This window comes from Homo sapiens, chromosome 3 (genome assembly GCF_000001405.40).
Source record: "Homo sapiens chromosome 3, GRCh38.p14 Primary Assembly".
Lineage (NCBI taxonomy): Eukaryota > Metazoa > Chordata > Mammalia > Primates > Hominidae > Homo > Homo sapiens.
The window spans coordinates 170,669,705-170,686,922 of NC_000003.12; the positions used below are offsets into that span (position 1 = coordinate 170,669,705).

A 17,218-nucleotide genomic window follows, 5' to 3' on the forward strand; every position below is an offset into this window, starting at 1 on the left:
TCTATGAAGTAGGTAACAATTAAGTCCCCTATTTTACTTGAGCACAGAGAGGAGGAGTCACTTGCTCAAGGTCACACAGCTATCTGGAGGCAGAGTCGTGATGTACATCCAGGTGTTTTTTTCTGGCTCCAGAGTCTCTACTCTCTATGCCATGCTGCCTCTGGATCTGCAAGGGAGCTTGCAGGTCATTTAGTTCACCCTCATTCCACAATGTGGACTCAGAGGTACCAGGTGATGAGAGGACTTGCCCACAATTAAACAGCTGATTAACATCTGGACTGGAACTAGAATCTTATCTTTCAGAACATGACTTATATCACTGTGCCCTTAGATTATTTGGGCAGATAATTCTATGAAGGATGGGGGCTTGGCCACATCCTCATGTTTCCCCACCTTGAATGATAGTTCCCTGGGGACAAAGATGGCTTTCGCTACTGTTTTTTGATAGTCCTTCTTCTGTCCTTCACAGTTGGGATGAAGATGCCCTGCTCAAGTTTACAAGCGGTGTTTTCCAGCTCAGCACAGCTCTTCTTCCTCTGAAGGTGCATCTCCCTACCTCTTGATCATCTGTGCGGCAAATGCTCCATGTGCATTTGGGGACCATCATCACTCTTGTCAGTTTTGTCCCTCCTCAGCCATCAGTGAGCTCAGGTGCACAGCAGTAACGGGAAATAGTACATGGCAGTGCCTAAAGGGTTAGTGAGAGAGAGACCAGACCACACAGTCATTCCCTCTCTAGCAGCCATCTCTGCATGAGAAGTGTTGGAGGGACAGCACCACAGGGACAGTGCTCTGTGCACCTCTCCTGTCCCAATTAGAACCATCACAGTCACCAGTGCCTCTAAACTGCAAGGGACCCACTAGGCAAAGAGAGCAGACTGGGGCAGAAATGTCCCATCATGGGAGCTGGAGATTGGGCTGTAGAATTTCAGACTGGAAGTTAGAGTTTGGCAGGCATCCTTCTCAGATTTTCTGGAACAGTTCCAATTTTATGCAACATAATTTTTTTAAATAATGATGACTCATTAAAAAAACTGTGATTTAATTTTTATGCATTTAATAGGACTTCTTATTTAAATAAATTCACTAATCAACAAAACAAAAATCTTTCTCAGCACCAAGAGTAGTCACTTGAACTTCAGACATACATTCTCCTTATTTATAGATCATCCTGACTGTAAAGGAACCAAAGAATAAGTTGCTGAGGATCAACAAAATACTTGCGGGGTTGAAATCACATACTTCCCTTGACTAAAAGAGGCTTATCATCTATGGTTGTACAGGTTGTGCACTGTACCAGGCTGCAACTGCAAGGAGTCTCTATTTGTACTGCAGACATTATTGATTTGTATGTTGAATACAACAGTTTTATGACAGATGGGCAGATTTGTTCAGTATAATCAATATACAATATGAAGACGATTTCAAACAGAATGAAGCAATGTGCCTTGAGGAAGGAGTGCCTGTTCTAATTTTCACAATGGTGTCCTATAAACCACTAGTGGCCTAGATTGAATGGCCAGTTCTATAAAACTCATGGGCCTGGGATTGAGAAACCAAGACTCAGAGCAGTAAGGGGAAAGTAGAGCAGTTACTTGCAAGACCAAGGCTAACCTGAAAGTGTATAAGGTAACACATTATTGGCTACACATTAGAATCTCTTGGGGAGATTTGAAAAATACTGATGCCTGGGTTTCACCCCTAGAGGTTCCTTTTAACTGGTCTGGGATACAGCCTGGGGTTGAGGTATTGAGGTTCTTCATGTAACCCTAATAAACAGCCAAGGTTGAGAACCACTGTATTTTTTGTTGGATGGGTGACAAATGATAGATGGATGGGTGGATGACTAGATGCATGGGGTGCATAGATACGTGAATAAATGAATGGACTAAGGAATTGGGCATAGAGTCATGGCTTGACATGTTTTCATGATCTGGTATCTGCTTATCTCCAGACACATTCTCTCTCATCTTGCCTCAGTTTCTTGCACTCCGTGCTCCAGCCATACTGAATTTCAATCAGTTTTTCTAATGTGGTGACTCTCTTACAACTCTGGCCCTTACCTTCCCTGTTCTCATTGATTAGAATGTGTTTCCTTTTTCTGTTTGCCTGACTAACTCTTACTCAGATTTCAGGCCTCTACATAAAATTTCAGGTAATTTAGTCCTGGAAGATTTCCTGGACTCCTCTAGACCCTGGTTTAGATCCTGCCATCCATGTTCCTGTGGCCTCTTGTCCTTTCCCATCAGAGCACCTATCACTTGGCATTGCCAGCTGGGCTCAGGGGAGAGGAAAAGGAAAAACCCAGTGGTTCATTTCTCATGGTCCTATGCTGCATGGCCTCATGCTGATTCAAGCATTTCAGGACAAAAACTTACTTTGACAAAATCTGTGCATCATTCATTGATGAATAAAAATATCACACCTTTGGTGGATGCCCCTCTCCCCTTATCTTCCTGTCCTGCAGTATTTTCATGCACGTCTGTGTGAAGAGACCACCAAACAGGCTTTGTGTGAGCAACATGGCTGTTTATTTCACCTGGGTGCAGGCGGGCTGAGTTCGAAAAGAGAGTCAGAGAAGGGAGATAGAGGTGGGGCCATTTTATAAGATTTGGGTAGGTAAAGGAAAATTACAGTCAAAGGGAGTTGTTCTCTGGCGGGCAGGAGTGGGGGTCACAAGGTACTCAGTGGGGGAGATTTTGAGCCAGGATGAGCCAGGAGAAGGAATTTCACAAGACAATGTCATCAGTTAAGGCAGAAACAGGCCATTTTCACTTCTTTTGTGGTGGAATGTCATCAGTTAAGGCAGGAACCAGCCATCTGGGTGTGTACCTGCAGGTCACAGGGGATATGATGGCTTAGCTTGGGCTCAGAGGCCTGACATTCCTGTCTTCTTATATTAATAAGAAAAATAAAATGAAATAGTGGTAAAGGGTTGGGATGGTGAAAATTTTTTTGGGGTGGTATGGAGAGATAATGGGCGATGTTTCTCAGGGCTGCTTTGAGCAGGATTAGGGGCGGCGTGGGAACCTAGAGTGGGAGAGATTAAGCTGAAGGAAGATTTTGTGGTAAGTGGTGATGTCGTGGGGTTGTTAGAAGAAACATTTGTCATTTAGAATTATTGGTGATGGCCTGGATACAGTTTTGTTTGAATTGAAAAACTAAATGGAATAAGAGAAGGAGAAAAACAGGTATTAAAGGACCAAGAATTGGGAGGACCTAGGACATGTAATTAGAGAGTGCCTAAGGAGACTCAGCATAGCCTTGCCAGTAAAGATTGTTTATTTACTTTAAGAGTTAAGAGTGGTGGTTTGGGGATAGCACCAGGAGATATCAGCTGTGATGGCTTGGAGAAACAGTGTAAACTGGCAGTGTAAACAAGAGCAGGGCATGTACGAGTAGTTGAGAACAGGTGAATAAGAGTATGACTACACAGAAAATAATAGGGATGACAAGTTTTTTGGGTCACAGTTTAAGTTGGTCTGGTGTCTGGAATGAGACTGGTACCTAATAAAAAGGAGTGTCTATACAGGAGCTTAAATGGGCTGTACCTTGTAGCATTCTGAGGACAGGCCTGAATTCTGAGAAGGGAAAGTGGTAAAAGTATTGTCCAGTCCTTTTTAAGTTGGCGGCTGAGCTTGGTGAGGTGTGTTTTTAAAAGACCTTTAGTCCATTCTACTTTTCTTGAAGACGGAGGACCATAAGGGATATAAAGGTTTCACTGAATACTGAGAGCCTGAAAAAATGCTTGGCTGATTTGACTAATAAAGGCTGGTCCGTTATCAGACTGTATAGAGGTGGGAAGGCTAAACTGAGGATGTCTGACAGAAGGGAAGAAATGACTGTGGTGGCCTTCTCAGACCTGCAGGAAAGGCCTCTACTTATCCAGTGAAATTGTCTACCTAGACTAAGAGGTATTTTAGTTATCTGACTCGGGGCATGTTGAGTAAAGCTAATTTGCCAGTCCTGGGTGGGGGCAAATCCTCAAGCTTGATGTGTAGGGAAGGGAGGGGGCCTGAATAATCCCTGAGAAGTAGTAGAATAGCAGATGGAACATTGAGAAGTTATTTCCTTGAGGATAGATTTCCACAATGGAAAGGAAATGAGAGGTTTTAAGAGGTGGGCTAGTGGCTTGTACTATAGCATAGCCTGCCTTTGCTGTTGTGTGGTGATTAGGCCTGGTGGAACTGCCATCAATAAACCAACTGTGATCAGGGTGAGAAACAGGGAAGAAAGAAATGTGGGGAAATGTGGTGAACGTCAGGTGGATCAGAGAGTTGCAGTTATGAGGGTCAGGTGTGGTATCCGGAATAATGTGGGAGGCTGGATTGAAGTCTGGGCCAGGAACAATGGTAATTGTGGGAGACTCAACAAAGAGTGAGTATAGCTGAAGGAGCCAGGGAGCAGAAAGTATGTGCGTCAGGTGTGAGGAAGAAAATAGATTTTGGAAATTATGAGAGCTGTAGAGAGTGAGTTGAGCATAGTTTGTGATTTTAAGGGCCTCTAAAATTATTAGGGTGGCATCAGCCGCTGCACAGAGACATGATGGCCAGCCTAAAACAGTAAGGTCAAGTTGTTTGGACAAAAAGCCTACAGGACACGATCCCAGTCCTTGTGTAAGAATTCTGACTGCACAGCCCTGCACTTTGGCTGTGTGTAATGAAAAGGGTTGGGATGAGTCAGGGAGAGCTAGAGTGGGGGCAGTCTCTAAAGCTGTCTTCAAGGAACGGAAAGAGGAGTGGGGAAAGGATTTAGGATCTATGGGGTCAGCTAGGTTTCCTTTTGTGAGTTTATATAATGGTTTTGTTAGGATGGCAAAACCAGGTATCCAAAGGCGGAAGTATCCAATCACGCCCAGGAAGGAAAGGAGTAGTTGTTTTGTAGAAGGGGTTGGGGTTTGAGAGATCAGTCAGACATGATCGGCAGGGAGAGCACGTGTGTTTTTGTGAAGAATTATGCCGAGGTAACGGATGCAGAAGAAATTTGAGCTTTGGAGGGGGATACCCGATATCCTTTGGAGAATAAATGCTGAAGGAGCAGAAGTGTGTCTTGTTGAGAAGATTCAAAGGAGGGGCTACAAAGAAGGTCATCAATATACTGAATAAGGTGAGAAGCAGAGGGGTGGAAAGAAAATAAATCATGAGAAAGAGCTTGGCTGAAGTAATAAGGACTGTCCCTGAAACCTTGTGGCAGCACAGCCCAGGTAAGCTGCTGGGGCTGATGGGTGTCAGGGTCAGTCCAGATGAAAGCAAAGAGAGGCTGGGACGAGAGGTTCAGGGGAATAGTGAAAAAACCATCTTTAAGATCAAGAACGGAATAGTGAGTTGTGGAGGAAGGTATTGAGGACAAAAGAGTGTACGGGTTGGGCACTACAGGGTGGATAAGCAAAACAATTTGGTTGATAAGGCATAGATCCTAAACTAACTTGTAAGGCTTGTCTGGTTTTAGGACAGGTAAAATGGGGGAATTGTAAGGAGAGTTTATAGGCTTTAAAAGGCCATGCTGTAGCAGGTGAGTGATAACAGGCCTTTATCCTTTCAAAGCATGGTATGGGATAGGATATTGGTATTGAGCGGGGTAAGGGTGATTAGGTTTTAATGAGACGGTAAGGGGTGGATGATCGGTTGCCAAGGAGGGAGTAGAGGTATCTTATACTTGTGGGTTAAGTTGGGGGGATACAAGAGGAGGACACAAATGTGGCTTTGGATTGGGAAGAAGGGCGGCAATGAGATGTAGCTGTAGTCCAGGAATAGTCAGGGAAGCAGATAATTTAGTTAAAGTGTCTCGGCCTAATAACGGAACTGGGCAGGTGGGGATAACTTAAAAGGAGTGCTTAAAAGAGTGTTGTCTAAGTTGGCACCAGAGTTGGGGAGTTTTAAGAGGTTTAGAAGCCTGGCCATCAATACCTACAGCAGTTATGGAGGCAAGGGAAACAGGCCCTTGAAAAGAAGGTAATGTGGAGTGGGTAGCCTCCATATTGATTGAGAAGGGGACGGACTTACCTTCCACTGTGAGAGTTACCTAGATTGTCCGTGATGGTTCTGTAGGCTTCTGAGGCGATCGGGCACTGTCAGTCTTCAGCTGCTAAGCCAAGAAGATCTGGGAAGGAGTCAGTCAGAGAGCCTTGGGCCAGAGTTCCAGGGGCTCTGGGAGTGGCTGCCATGTGAGTTGAACAGTCTGATTTCCAGTGGGGTCCCGCACAGATGGGACATGGCTTAGGAGGAATCCTGGGCTGTGGGCATTCCTTGGCCTGGTGTCCAGATTTCTGGCACTTATAGCAAGCTCCTGGGGAAGGTGGTTCTGGAGGAACACCTGGCCACTGTGGTTTAGGCGTTTGGAAGTTCTTGTGTGCTGGAGATGTGGCTGGGGTTTGTCTCACAGTGGAGGCAAGGAATTGCAACTCAGAAATATGTTGCTACTTGGCTGCCTCTATTATTGTACACCTTGAAGGTGAGGTTAATTAAATCCTGTTGTGGGGTTTCAGGGCTGGAATTTAATTTTTGGAGTTTTATTTAATGTCAGGAGCAGATTGGGTAATAAAATGTATATTGAGAATAAGACAGCCTTTTGACTTTTTAGGGTCTAGGGCTGTAAAGCGTTTCAGGGTGGCTGCCAAATGAGCCATGAACTGGGCTGGATTTTTATATTTGATGAAAAAGAGCCTAAATCTAACTAATTTGGGATAAAGAAAAAGGAGCATTAACCTTGACTATGCCTTTAGCTCCAGCCACCTTTTTAAGAGTAAATTGCTGGGCAGGTGGGGGAGGGCTAGTCATGGAATGAAACTGTAAGCCAGACCAGGTGTGAGGAGGGGAGGTGATAAAAAGATTATAGGGTGGAGGAGCAGAGGCTGAGGAAGAATTGGGACCTAGCTTGGCCTGGGGAGGAGGGGAGAGGTCAGATGGGTCTGTAGAAAAGGAAGATTACAAAGACTCAGCGACACTTGGGGTTTGGACTGAGGGGACAGGAGGGAGGGAAAGAAGGAAGATTTGGGACTAGTTGCATTGGGAACAGAGACTAGAGAGGGACTATGTGTAAAAGAGTTCCTGGGCATCAGGCACCTCAGACCATTTGCCTATTTTTTGACAAAAATTATTTAGATCTTGTAGGATGGAGAAATCGAAAGTGCCATTTTCTGGCCATTTAGAACCACTGTTGAGTTTGTATTGGGGTCATGTGGCATTGTAGAAGAAAATAAGGCATTTAGGTTTTAGGTCCGGTGAGAGTTGAAGAGGTTTTATGTTCTTAAGAACACAGGCTAAGGGAGAAGAAGGAGGAATGGAGGATGGAAGGTTGCCTATAGTGAAGGAGGCAAGTTTAAAGAAAAGTAAGAGTAGAGACACGGAGGGAAGGGGTTCGGGGGTTCTTACCCTCCAGAAAAGCGGGAAAGGGGTTGGGGCACAGAGATATGAGGTCGGGGCATGGAAATAAGGGATCAGGGCACAGAGATATAAGAGGTTGGGGCATGGAAATAAGGGATCAGGGTGCAGACATATAAGAGGTCAGGGCATGGAAATAAGGGATGGGGTGCAGAGATACGAGGTTGGGGTACTTGCCCCTCCCCCAGAAAAGCAGGACTTGCCACTAAGGGTGAAGGAGAAGGGGTTGGGGGTTTCTTGCCCCCCAGAAAGGTGGAGAAGGGGTAGAGACATGGAGAGAAGGGGTTGGGGTACTTGCCTCTCCCCCCAAAAAATGGGACTTGCCGCTAAGGGTGAAGGACCAAGGCAGGCATCCCTGCATGGTCTGACACCTCTGAAACATGGGTGAATAATCAGAGAGGCATCCCTGCAATGATTAAACACCAAGGGAAGGCTGCCTTCCCAGCCCATGACCGGCGCCGGAGTTTTGGGTTCGCAGATAAAATGTGTCTCCTTTGTCTCTACCAGAAAATGAAAGGAATTGAAATTAAGAGAAGGGAGAGACAGAAGAGTGGAAAGGAGAAAGTGGCTGACGGTTAGTGAGAGAGGTTGGAGAAGAGAGTAAGAAGAGGCCGCTTACCCGATTTAAAATTGGTGAGATGTTCCTTGGGCTGGTGGGTCTGAGGACCTGAGGTCGTAGGTGGATCTTTTACACAGAGCAAAGAGCAAGAGGACAGAGGATTGATCTCCCAAAGGAGGTCCCCTGATCTGAGTCACAGCACCAAATTTCATGCGTGTCCGTGTGAAGAGACCACCAAACAGGCTTTGTGTGAGCAACATGGCTGTTTATTTCACCTGGGTGCAGGCGGGCTGAGTCCAAAAAGAGAGTCAGTGAAAGGAGACAGGGGTGGGGCCGTTTTATAAGATTTGGGTAGGTAAAGGAAAATTACAGTCAAAGGGAGTTGTTCTCTGGTGGGCAGGAGTGGGGGGTCACAAGGTGTTCAGTAGGGGAGCTTTTGAGCCAGGATGAGCCAGGAGAAGGAATTTCACAAGACAATGTCATCAGTTAACGCAGGAACAGGCCATTTTCACTTCTTTTGTGGTGGAATGTCATCAGTTAAGGCAGGAACCGGCCATCTGGATGTATACGTGCAGGTCACAGAGGATATGATGGCTTAGCTTGGGCTCAGAGCCCTGACAGTTATTATTTAAATCAGCCATGTGTCAATCCACCAAGTTCTTACTGAGAGTAGCTTTCTCTATGTCCACTAAGTCCACTCAGATCAGGATCAGGGAAACTCGACAACAAGGGCCAGAAGGGACATTAGGGATATTCTCATCAGAGTCTGCATTGTATCGAGGAGCAAATGGATATTTAACTGGCAACAATGACTTGCCCAGGGTCACACAGCAGCAGAACAAGGGCTGAAACCCAAGTTTCTTGGCTAGAAGACTAGTCTGCCCCCATATTCAAGTTCTCTTTAGAAAATTCTCAAAATTCTAGAGCTTAGTCCCTTCTCCTGACCCTTCCAATGCCATGGCAATTCTAAGCGAGGAAAGCCCTGAATTAAAGTCAATAATGAAGATACCTGGGGACAAAGATGGCTTTCACTACTGTTTTTTCACTAGGTGTGAGCAGTTGGTAAGACAGCAATGTATCACATCCAGGACATCACCATTATTACAGGAATAGTTACCCCATGAGCAGCTCTTAAAGATAAGACATGTCTGTGAGAGGTGGGCTGCAGAAAACCCTTTGGGAAAATTTGCTCTGGAAATTCAGAGTTGAAGATTTGTCTGCAAGGACAGTCTAAGGAAATGGTGACAGGGTAAGGGGAAATCAGGGCCAAGAGAACAAGGCTACCACACTGGGAGTTTTCTCTACACCCAGACTGAGAAAAGGGCTTTTGATTTTGGCCCAAACATTGAACTGCCTCTTTGTCCATGGGGGAATTCTAGGAAGTGCATGAAAACACTACAGCAAGACTTTCAAACTTACCCACAGACACATTTTATCTGAGATGCCTGGTGGCTTTTAAAATTTATAAGCCACTACATAAAAGTTAAGAGATTCCACATGAAATAGGAAGATAAACAACATGGATCCCTCATTCCCATAAGGCATTGATAGAGGAGAGGGGAGCAGTGGTTGCCCCTTGAGACAGGGCTTGAGCTTTCCATGCCCCCAGGGGCCCTGCTGCTCACTCATGGCACTGGCTGGGCCCTATGGACCTGTGGCATGTGACCTGGGCTCTGAAGGAGCCTCCTGCCTGTCTTGCTTATAGTTGGCATCACATTCTTCCTCATATCGTAGATTCCTGCATGCTCAACTCATCTCCCAACAGGCCTCCAAGCCCAATAAACGCTCTTGAAATGAATGAATCAGTATTTCAAGGTGCTAACTTGAAGCCACAGTATAGGTTTATGAAATTTTTATTTTGTAAATTATTCAGGAGCTTGGTTTGCTACCAAATGTTGAAAAGAAGCTTTGCTAAATAAAATTATTCGTAAGATACTGAAACAGGAAAACTAAGGTAATCTCCTTCCTGGATTTCTTTTAGTAAGAGGCAGGTCTCTTTCAGGTTAAGTTCAAAATATTCCTGCTGAAGGTGGGAAATGGGCCCCTTTAGATGGTGAGAGCTCTATTTCAGCCTTAGGATCTCATCATTAGCTGTGATGCAGAGGAGAATTGGACGAACAGCAGCGTGGTGCTGAGGAAAGTGTGTGGATGTGGGAATCAGACGAATCCAGTGCTAATCCCTGGTTTCGTTTCTTCCCACCTTTTGTGACCTTGGGCTTGTGGTTTACCTCCTTGGGCCTCAGCAGAGGATTATAGACCTCTTTTAAATTGTTAAAAACAATTGTTTTCCTAAATAGTACCTGGACATGGTACAAAATTCAAAAGGTACAAAGTGAAAAGTTTCTTTCCCTCTAGTCACCAAAGTCACTCAGCTTCCCTCACAGGAGGCAGGCTATCTTACTAGGTTCTTATGCATCCTTCTGAAGATAGCCTATAAATATATAATATATGTGAATATAAAAATACATGTAAATTCATAAATGCTTACTCTTTATACAAACATTCACACTGTTCCATATCTTCTTTTTTCATTTAACATACCTTAAAGATCTTTCTACATCAGAAAAAGCGGCCTCATTTTTAATGGCTGCACAATATTCTATTGATGGATGTGCCATAAAGTGATTTAACCAGTCTATTATTGGCACTCATTCATAGTAGACTTCCAAGATTTGCTATTTCAACACTGCTAAAATGGATATGATACACGTGCACTTCTTGTAGGTATGCATGTATCTGTGGGCTAAATCCCAGTATGTGGAACTGTTGTGTTATGGGGTAAGCACAGTTATGTTTTGATAGGTAGTGCCAAACTGCCCTCCATAGATGTTATAATTCAAACTAACATAGATTTATTAAAGCTCTACTGAAAACCTAACCCATCTATTTCCCTATGATAGGCATGTTATTTATTGGACTTTGTTTTTCTCTCTGCCTTTATTTACTGACCTGATATGTCAATCTGTGAAATGGAAATAGTTATAACTTTGTTATATTTATGGGAGGCCATTGTTTTGGAGTAACTCCTCCTTCAGGCCCCAACAAACAAGACAAAACCAGAGTGCAGTCACTTGTGCTAGGTGCTACATAGTCAAACTAAAGTTTAAAATGAGCCAGTTTTCCAAAAAACAGGAGATTCACATCAGCCAATCAAAAGGGGCCCAGTCTGTCTGAGCCAGCATGATAAGGAGGTCCCCACTGTTTTAATTCTATAAGGAAAACAGCTTTGTAATGACCAGTTTGCTTTTTGTTCCTCATTTTAGCTTTCATCAGTCTTTTCTGCCTATGAAGCCCACCTCTTCTGCCCAGCTCACTGGAGCACCTTTCTAAATCTGAGATAAGCTGTTTCTGATTAATGAATGACTAAAAAAGCCAACTATGCCTTAAATTTTTTTTCTTTTTGAATGATTAGTAATTCATTTTTATACTTCTGTCCTTACAATATGTTCCCGCCAATTATACCTTTAAACTAAACTTGCTGGGATTTTGTTTTTGGACAAATTCCAGAGTTGTTTTGAGGATTTATTTAGAGTGTTTGACACTGATCATCTCTTGTCTACGTCAGAGGTTTCTGAGGACTCTCCTTTGGCCGTCTGTAACAGGTACCTGGCAGGATCTGACAGCAGCGGCAAAGTGCCCACGCTATAGAATGGCTTCCACATTGAGGCAATACATTCTTAAGAATATATTGTTCTGAGCTGAGTGAGAGATGTCTTCCTAACACTTCTGTTTGAATGCTTTACATAGTTAAATGCCAATCAATTAAGAATTTCATTTAGGCAAAAGGAAAAAGAAGAAAGCAGTCATTCTTTGTAATAAAAATATTGACTTATCACCAGTGAAGTGGAAAATGACTTTGTTTTTCAATCGCTAAAGAACAAATGCCATTATAAATTGAAAAACAGCCTATTGGATGGTCTTATATTATTATTGCAATGACTCTTAATCTCTTCCTTGTCATCAAACCATGCCACCTCCCCTCCTTTTTTTTTTGAAATGGGGTCTCACTCTGTCACCCAGGCTGGAGTGCAGTGGCACGATCATAGCTCATTGCAGCCTCAACCTCCCAGGTTCAGGCAATCCTCCCACTTCAGCCTCCTGAGTAGCTGGGACTTTCATGTGCATCCATGTGAAGAGACCACCAAACAGGCTTTGTGAGAGCAATAAAGCTTTTAATCACCTGAGTGCAGGCAGGCTGAGTCCAAAAAGAGAGTCAGCGAAGGGAGATAGGGGTGGGGCCGTTTTATAAGATTAGGGCAGGTAAAGGAAAATTACAGTCAAAGGGGATTTGTTCTCTGGCGGGCAGAAGTGGGGGTCGCAAGGTGCTCAGTGGGGGTGCTTTTTGAGCCAGGATGAGCCAGGAAAAGGACTTTCACAAGGTTATGTCATCACTTAAGGCAAAGACTGGACATTTTCACTTCTTTTGTGGTGGAATATCATCAGTTAAGGCAAGGACCGGCCATTTACACTTCTTTTGTGGTGGAATGTCATCAGTTAAGGTGGGGCAGGGCATATTCACTTCTTTTGTGATTCTTCAGTTACTTCAGGCCATCTGGGCATATACGTGCAAGTCACAGGGGATGTGATGGCTTGGCTTGGGCTCAGAGGCCTGACATTCCTGCCTTCTTATATTAATAAGAAAAATAAAACAGTGTTGAAGTGTTGGGGCAGTGAAAATTTTTGGGGGGTGGTATGGAGAGAGAGAATGGACGATGTTTCTCAGGGCTGCTTCAGGCAGGATTAGGGGTGACGTGGGAACTAGAGTGGGAGAAATTAAGCTGAAGGGAGATCTTGTGGTAAGGGGTGATATTGTGGGGTTGTTAGAAGAAACATTTGTCGTATAGGATGATTGGTGATGGCCTGGATACGGTTTTGAATGAATTGAGAAACTAAACGGAAGATACAAGGTCCGAATAAAAGGAGAAAAATGAGTATTAAAGGAGTAAGAATTGGGAGGACCCAGGACATCCAATTAGAGAGTGCCCAAGGGGGTTCAGCGTAATTACTTGCTTGGTTGGCAAGTTTTTGGGCTCTATCCTTGAATTTTTTTATGTTGTCATACACCAGGCCAGATTGATTTAGGTAAAAACAACACTCTTCATTTAAGAAAATACGGAGTCCTCCTTTCTCAGCAGTGAGTAAGTCAAGGCCTCAGCGGTTTTGGAGGACAATTGCAGCTAAAGAGTCAAATTGGGCCTGGAGGACTGATAAAGTTTGTGATATGTCTGTAATGCTAGCAGAGAAGTCATTAGACAGGCTACGGAAGGTCGTGACAGAGGTTGAAATGCCTGCTATTCCAGTACCGAGAACAATAGTGGAGGCAGAAAGTCCTAAACTGACCATCAAGGGAACTAGTGGAATAACTCTTTTTTGTCATGTCGGTGTCATGAGGGGAACAGGGAGCTCTTCGGTCCCATTTGCAAATTGAATTTTGGGGGTAAGGAAAACTAGTGTGCATGTGCCTGTCCAATTAGCAGGTAGACACATGTAGGTAGAGGATCCACAGAGGAAGAAGAGACCTTGTGTGAGGCAAAACTGGAGATGTAAACTAAAAAGGTGAGAAGGAGGGCTGAAAGGGGTGTCTTGTACCCAGACTCCTAGGGATCCAGCTAGGGCAGCAGCTGTCAGAGATTGTAATGGGGACTGATGGGGTCACTGCATAGAGGAGGAGGTTCGATTTTCATGGTGTATGAGAAAACGTTGAGTATCTACGAGCAACCTTTCACTGTTTTTTTCGGGGCTGGGTATAAGTAAACAAGAAGAGGGCCTGGGAGGAGAGTCTGACGAGCAAGGGGAAGATAGGCAAGGATGGAGTGAAATACAGGGTAAGTGTCTTCCTAAGCAATAATTACTGCTAACATTTTTAAGTTTGTCAGTATTGATAGAGGGCTTGTCTGTAATATGGAGCTGAAAGGCTCCAATTGTTTCAGTGATGTGTGTAGTTGGGCTTCAGAGATGAAGAGTAAAGGAACATCGAGAAGGTGAAAGGTTACCCAGGGGAATTCCAGTGGGTCTTTGCTGAGAGATACATAAAGGAGCGGCCACAGGAATACTAGTTTGTGTTGTGAAAGGTCCAAATATGGGGAGAGTAGAGTAATATAAGGAGAAAGGTTTTTTAAATAAGTGCGGAGGAGGGCGGCAGCTTGCTGATGTGAAATGTCTGGGGAGGTCTTGCTGGACCTGTCTAGAAAGTAAATGAGTTCTTCAGGAGGGTAAAGGTGAGGGCTGTTAAAGGAAGTTCAGAGGTGTAAGGAGACAGGAGATGTTGCCCAGTCTGTCTGTAAGGCGGGGACAGCTATGTAGGCACTGGAAGAAAGGGAAATGCAAAGCCAACTGCTGTTCGCCAGCAGTTGTGGCTAGGAGAGAATGGGTAAGGTTGATAGTGTGGTGGAGATAGCTGGGGAGAGGTAGAGGGTGGCATAAGAATGGGAATGAGAATAAGAGTGAGTATAAAAGTAAAGAATAGAAATTCATCAGGGTGGAAATATTGGAGGGTGCCCTGCCGGCAAAGATCATCTATCCACTCTAAGAGGGAATTAAGAGTGGTGGTTTGGGGATAACACCAAGAGATATCAGCTGTGATGGCTTGGAGAAACAGTGTAAACTGGCAGTGTAAACAAGAGCAGGGCATGTATGAGTAGTTGAGAATGGTGAATAGGAGTGTGACTAGATAGAAGAAAGTAGGGATGACAAGTTTTTTTGGGGCGCAGTCTAAGTTGGTCTGGTGTCTGGAATGAGACTGGGGCCTAATAAAAAGGAGCGTCTATACGGGAGCTTAAATGGGCTGTACCTTGTAGCATTCTGAGGACAGGCCTGAATTCTGAGAAGGGAAAGTGGTAAAAGTATTGTCCAGTCCTTTTTAAGTTGGCGGCTGAGCTTGGTGAGGTGTGTTTTTAAAAGACCTTTAGTCCATTCTACTTTTCTTGAAGACGGAGGACCATAAGGGATATAAAGGTTTCACTGAATACTGAGAGCCTGAAAAAATGCTTGGCTGATTTGACTAATAAAGGCTGGTCCGTTATCAGACTGTATAGAGGTGGGAAGGCTAAACTGAGGAATTATGTCTGACAGAAGGGAAGAAATGACTGCGGTGGCCTTCTCAGACCCTGTAGGAAAGGCCTGTACCTATCCAGTGAAAGTGTCTACCTAGACTAAGAGGTATTTTAGTTATCTGACTCAGGGCATGTTGAGTAAAGCTAATTTGCCAGTCCTGGGTGGGGGCAAATTCTCAAGCTTGATGTGTAGGGAAGGCAGGGGGCCTGAATAATCCCTGAGGAGTAGTAGAATAGCAGATGGAACACTGAGAAGTTGTTTCCTTGAGGATAGATTTCCATGATGGAAAGGAAATGAGAGGTTCTGAGAGGCAGGCTAGTGGCTTGTACTATAGCATAGCCTGCCTTTGCTGGAGTGTGGCGATTGGGTCTGGTGGAACTGCCATCAATAAATCAAGCGTGATCAGGGTGAGGAACAGGAAAGAAGGAAATATGGGGAAATGGGGTGAATGTCAGGTGGATCAGAGAGATACAATCATGGGGGTCAGGTGTGGTATCAGGAATAATGTGGGAGGCCAGATTGAAGTCCAGGCCAGGAACAATGATAACTGTGGGACTTAACAAAGAGTGAGTACAGCTGAAGGAGCCGGGGAGCAGAAAGTATATGCATCAGCTATGAGGAAGAAAATAGATTTTGGAAGTTTTGAGAAATGTAGAGAGTGAGTTGAGCATAGTTTGTGATTTTTAGGGCCTCTAAAAGTATTAAAGCAGCGGCAGCTGCTGCACACATACGTGAGGGCTAGGCTAAAACAGTAAGGTCAAGTTGTTTGGACAGAAAGGCTACAGGGTGCGTACCTGGCTCTTGTGTAAGAATTCTGACCACACTAACCATGCCTAGGAAGGAAAGGAGTTGTTGTTTTGTAAGGGATTGAGGTTTGGGAGATTAATCGGACACAATCAGCAGGGAGAGCATGTGTTTTTATGAGAATTATGCCGAGATAGGTAACAGATGAGGATGAAATTTGGGCTTGGCTGAAGTAATGGGGGCTATCTGTGAAGCCTTGCGGCAGTACAGCCCAGGTAATTTGCTGAGCCTAATGGGTGTCAGGGTCAGTCTAAGTGAAAGCGAAGAGAGGCTGGGATGAAGGGTGCAAAGGAATAGTAAAGAAAGCATGTTTGAGATCCAGAACAGAATAATGGGTTGCAGAGGGAGGTACTGAGGATAGGAGAGTATATGGGTTTGGCACCACGGGGTGGATAGGCAAAACAATTTGATTGATAAGGCACAGATTCTGAACTAACCTGTAAGCCTTGGCTGGTTTTAGGACAGGTGAAATGGGGGAATTGTAAGGGGAGTTTATAGGCTTTAAAAGGCCATGCTGTATCAGGCAAGTGATAACAGGCTTTAATCTTTTTAAAGCGTGCTGTGGGATGGGATATTGGCATTGAGGGGGGTAAGGGTGATTAGGTTTTAATGAGATGGTAAGGGGTGCATGATCGGTCGCCAAGGAGGGAGTAGAGGTATCTTATACTTGTGGGTTAAGATGGGGTGATATGAGAGGAGGATGCAAAGGAGGCCTTGAACTGGGGAAAAGGGCAGCAATGACGTGTGGCTGTAGTCTGGGAACAGTCAGGGAAGCAGATAATTTAGTTAAAATGTCTTAGCCTAATAAGGGAACTGGGCAGGTGGGGATAACTAAAAAGGAGTGCTTAAAAGAATATTGTCTAAGTTGGCACCAGAGTTGGGGAGTTTTAACAGGTTTAAAAGCCTGGCCGTCAATACCTACAGCAGTTATGGAAGCAAGGGAAACAGGCCTTTGAAAATAAGGTAATGTGGGGTGGGTAGCCTCCGTATTGATTAAGAAGGGGACGGACTTACTTTCCACTGTGAGAGTTACCCAGAGTGTCTGTAATGGTCTTGTAGGCTTCAGGCGATCTGGCAGTGTCAGTCTTCAGCTGCTAAGCTGAGATCTGGGAAGCAGTTAGTCAAAGAGCCTTGGGCCAGAGTTCCAGAGGCTCTGGGAGTGGCTGCCAGGTGAGCTGAACAGTCTGATTTTCAGTGGGGTCCTGCACAGATGGGACATGGCTTAGGAGGAATCCTGGGCTCTGGGCATTCCTTAGCCCAGTGGCCAGATTTCCAGCACTTGTAGCAAGCTCCTGGGGGAGGAGGTTCTGGAGGAACCCCTGGCCACTGCGGTTCAGGCGTTTGGAGTTCTTGTGTGCTGGAGATGTGGCTGGGGTTTGTCTCACAGTGGAGGCAAGGAATTGCAACTCAGAAATATGTTGCT

The 17,218-nt window shown here is 44.7% G+C and overlaps 1 long non-coding RNA gene across 1 annotated transcript in view, besides 2 other annotated features; it reads left to right on the forward strand.

Annotated features, from left to right (window-relative positions):
- SLC7A14-AS1 (SLC7A14 antisense RNA 1) overlaps positions 1–17,218 on the forward strand; it is a 287,921-nt gene that overhangs the window by 202,420 nt on the left and 68,283 nt on the right. The window lies entirely within an intron of this gene.
- Positions 8,173–8,674: an enhancer, noted in NCBI's record as "NANOG hESC enhancer chr3:170395666-170396167 (GRCh37/hg19 assembly coordinates)". NCBI's record gives its function as "activates a minimal SCP1, AML or CMV promoter by ChIP-STARR-seq in primed H9 embryonic stem cells {active_cell/tissue: H9 hESC(primed)}" and the evidence as "EXISTENCE:reporter gene assay evidence [ECO:0000049][PMID:30033119]".
- Positions 11,945–12,663: an enhancer, noted in NCBI's record as "OCT4-NANOG-H3K27ac hESC enhancer chr3:170399438-170400156 (GRCh37/hg19 assembly coordinates)". NCBI's record gives its function as "activates a minimal SCP1, AML or CMV promoter by ChIP-STARR-seq in naive H9 embryonic stem cells {active_cell/tissue: H9 hESC(naive)}" and the evidence as "EXISTENCE:reporter gene assay evidence [ECO:0000049][PMID:30033119]".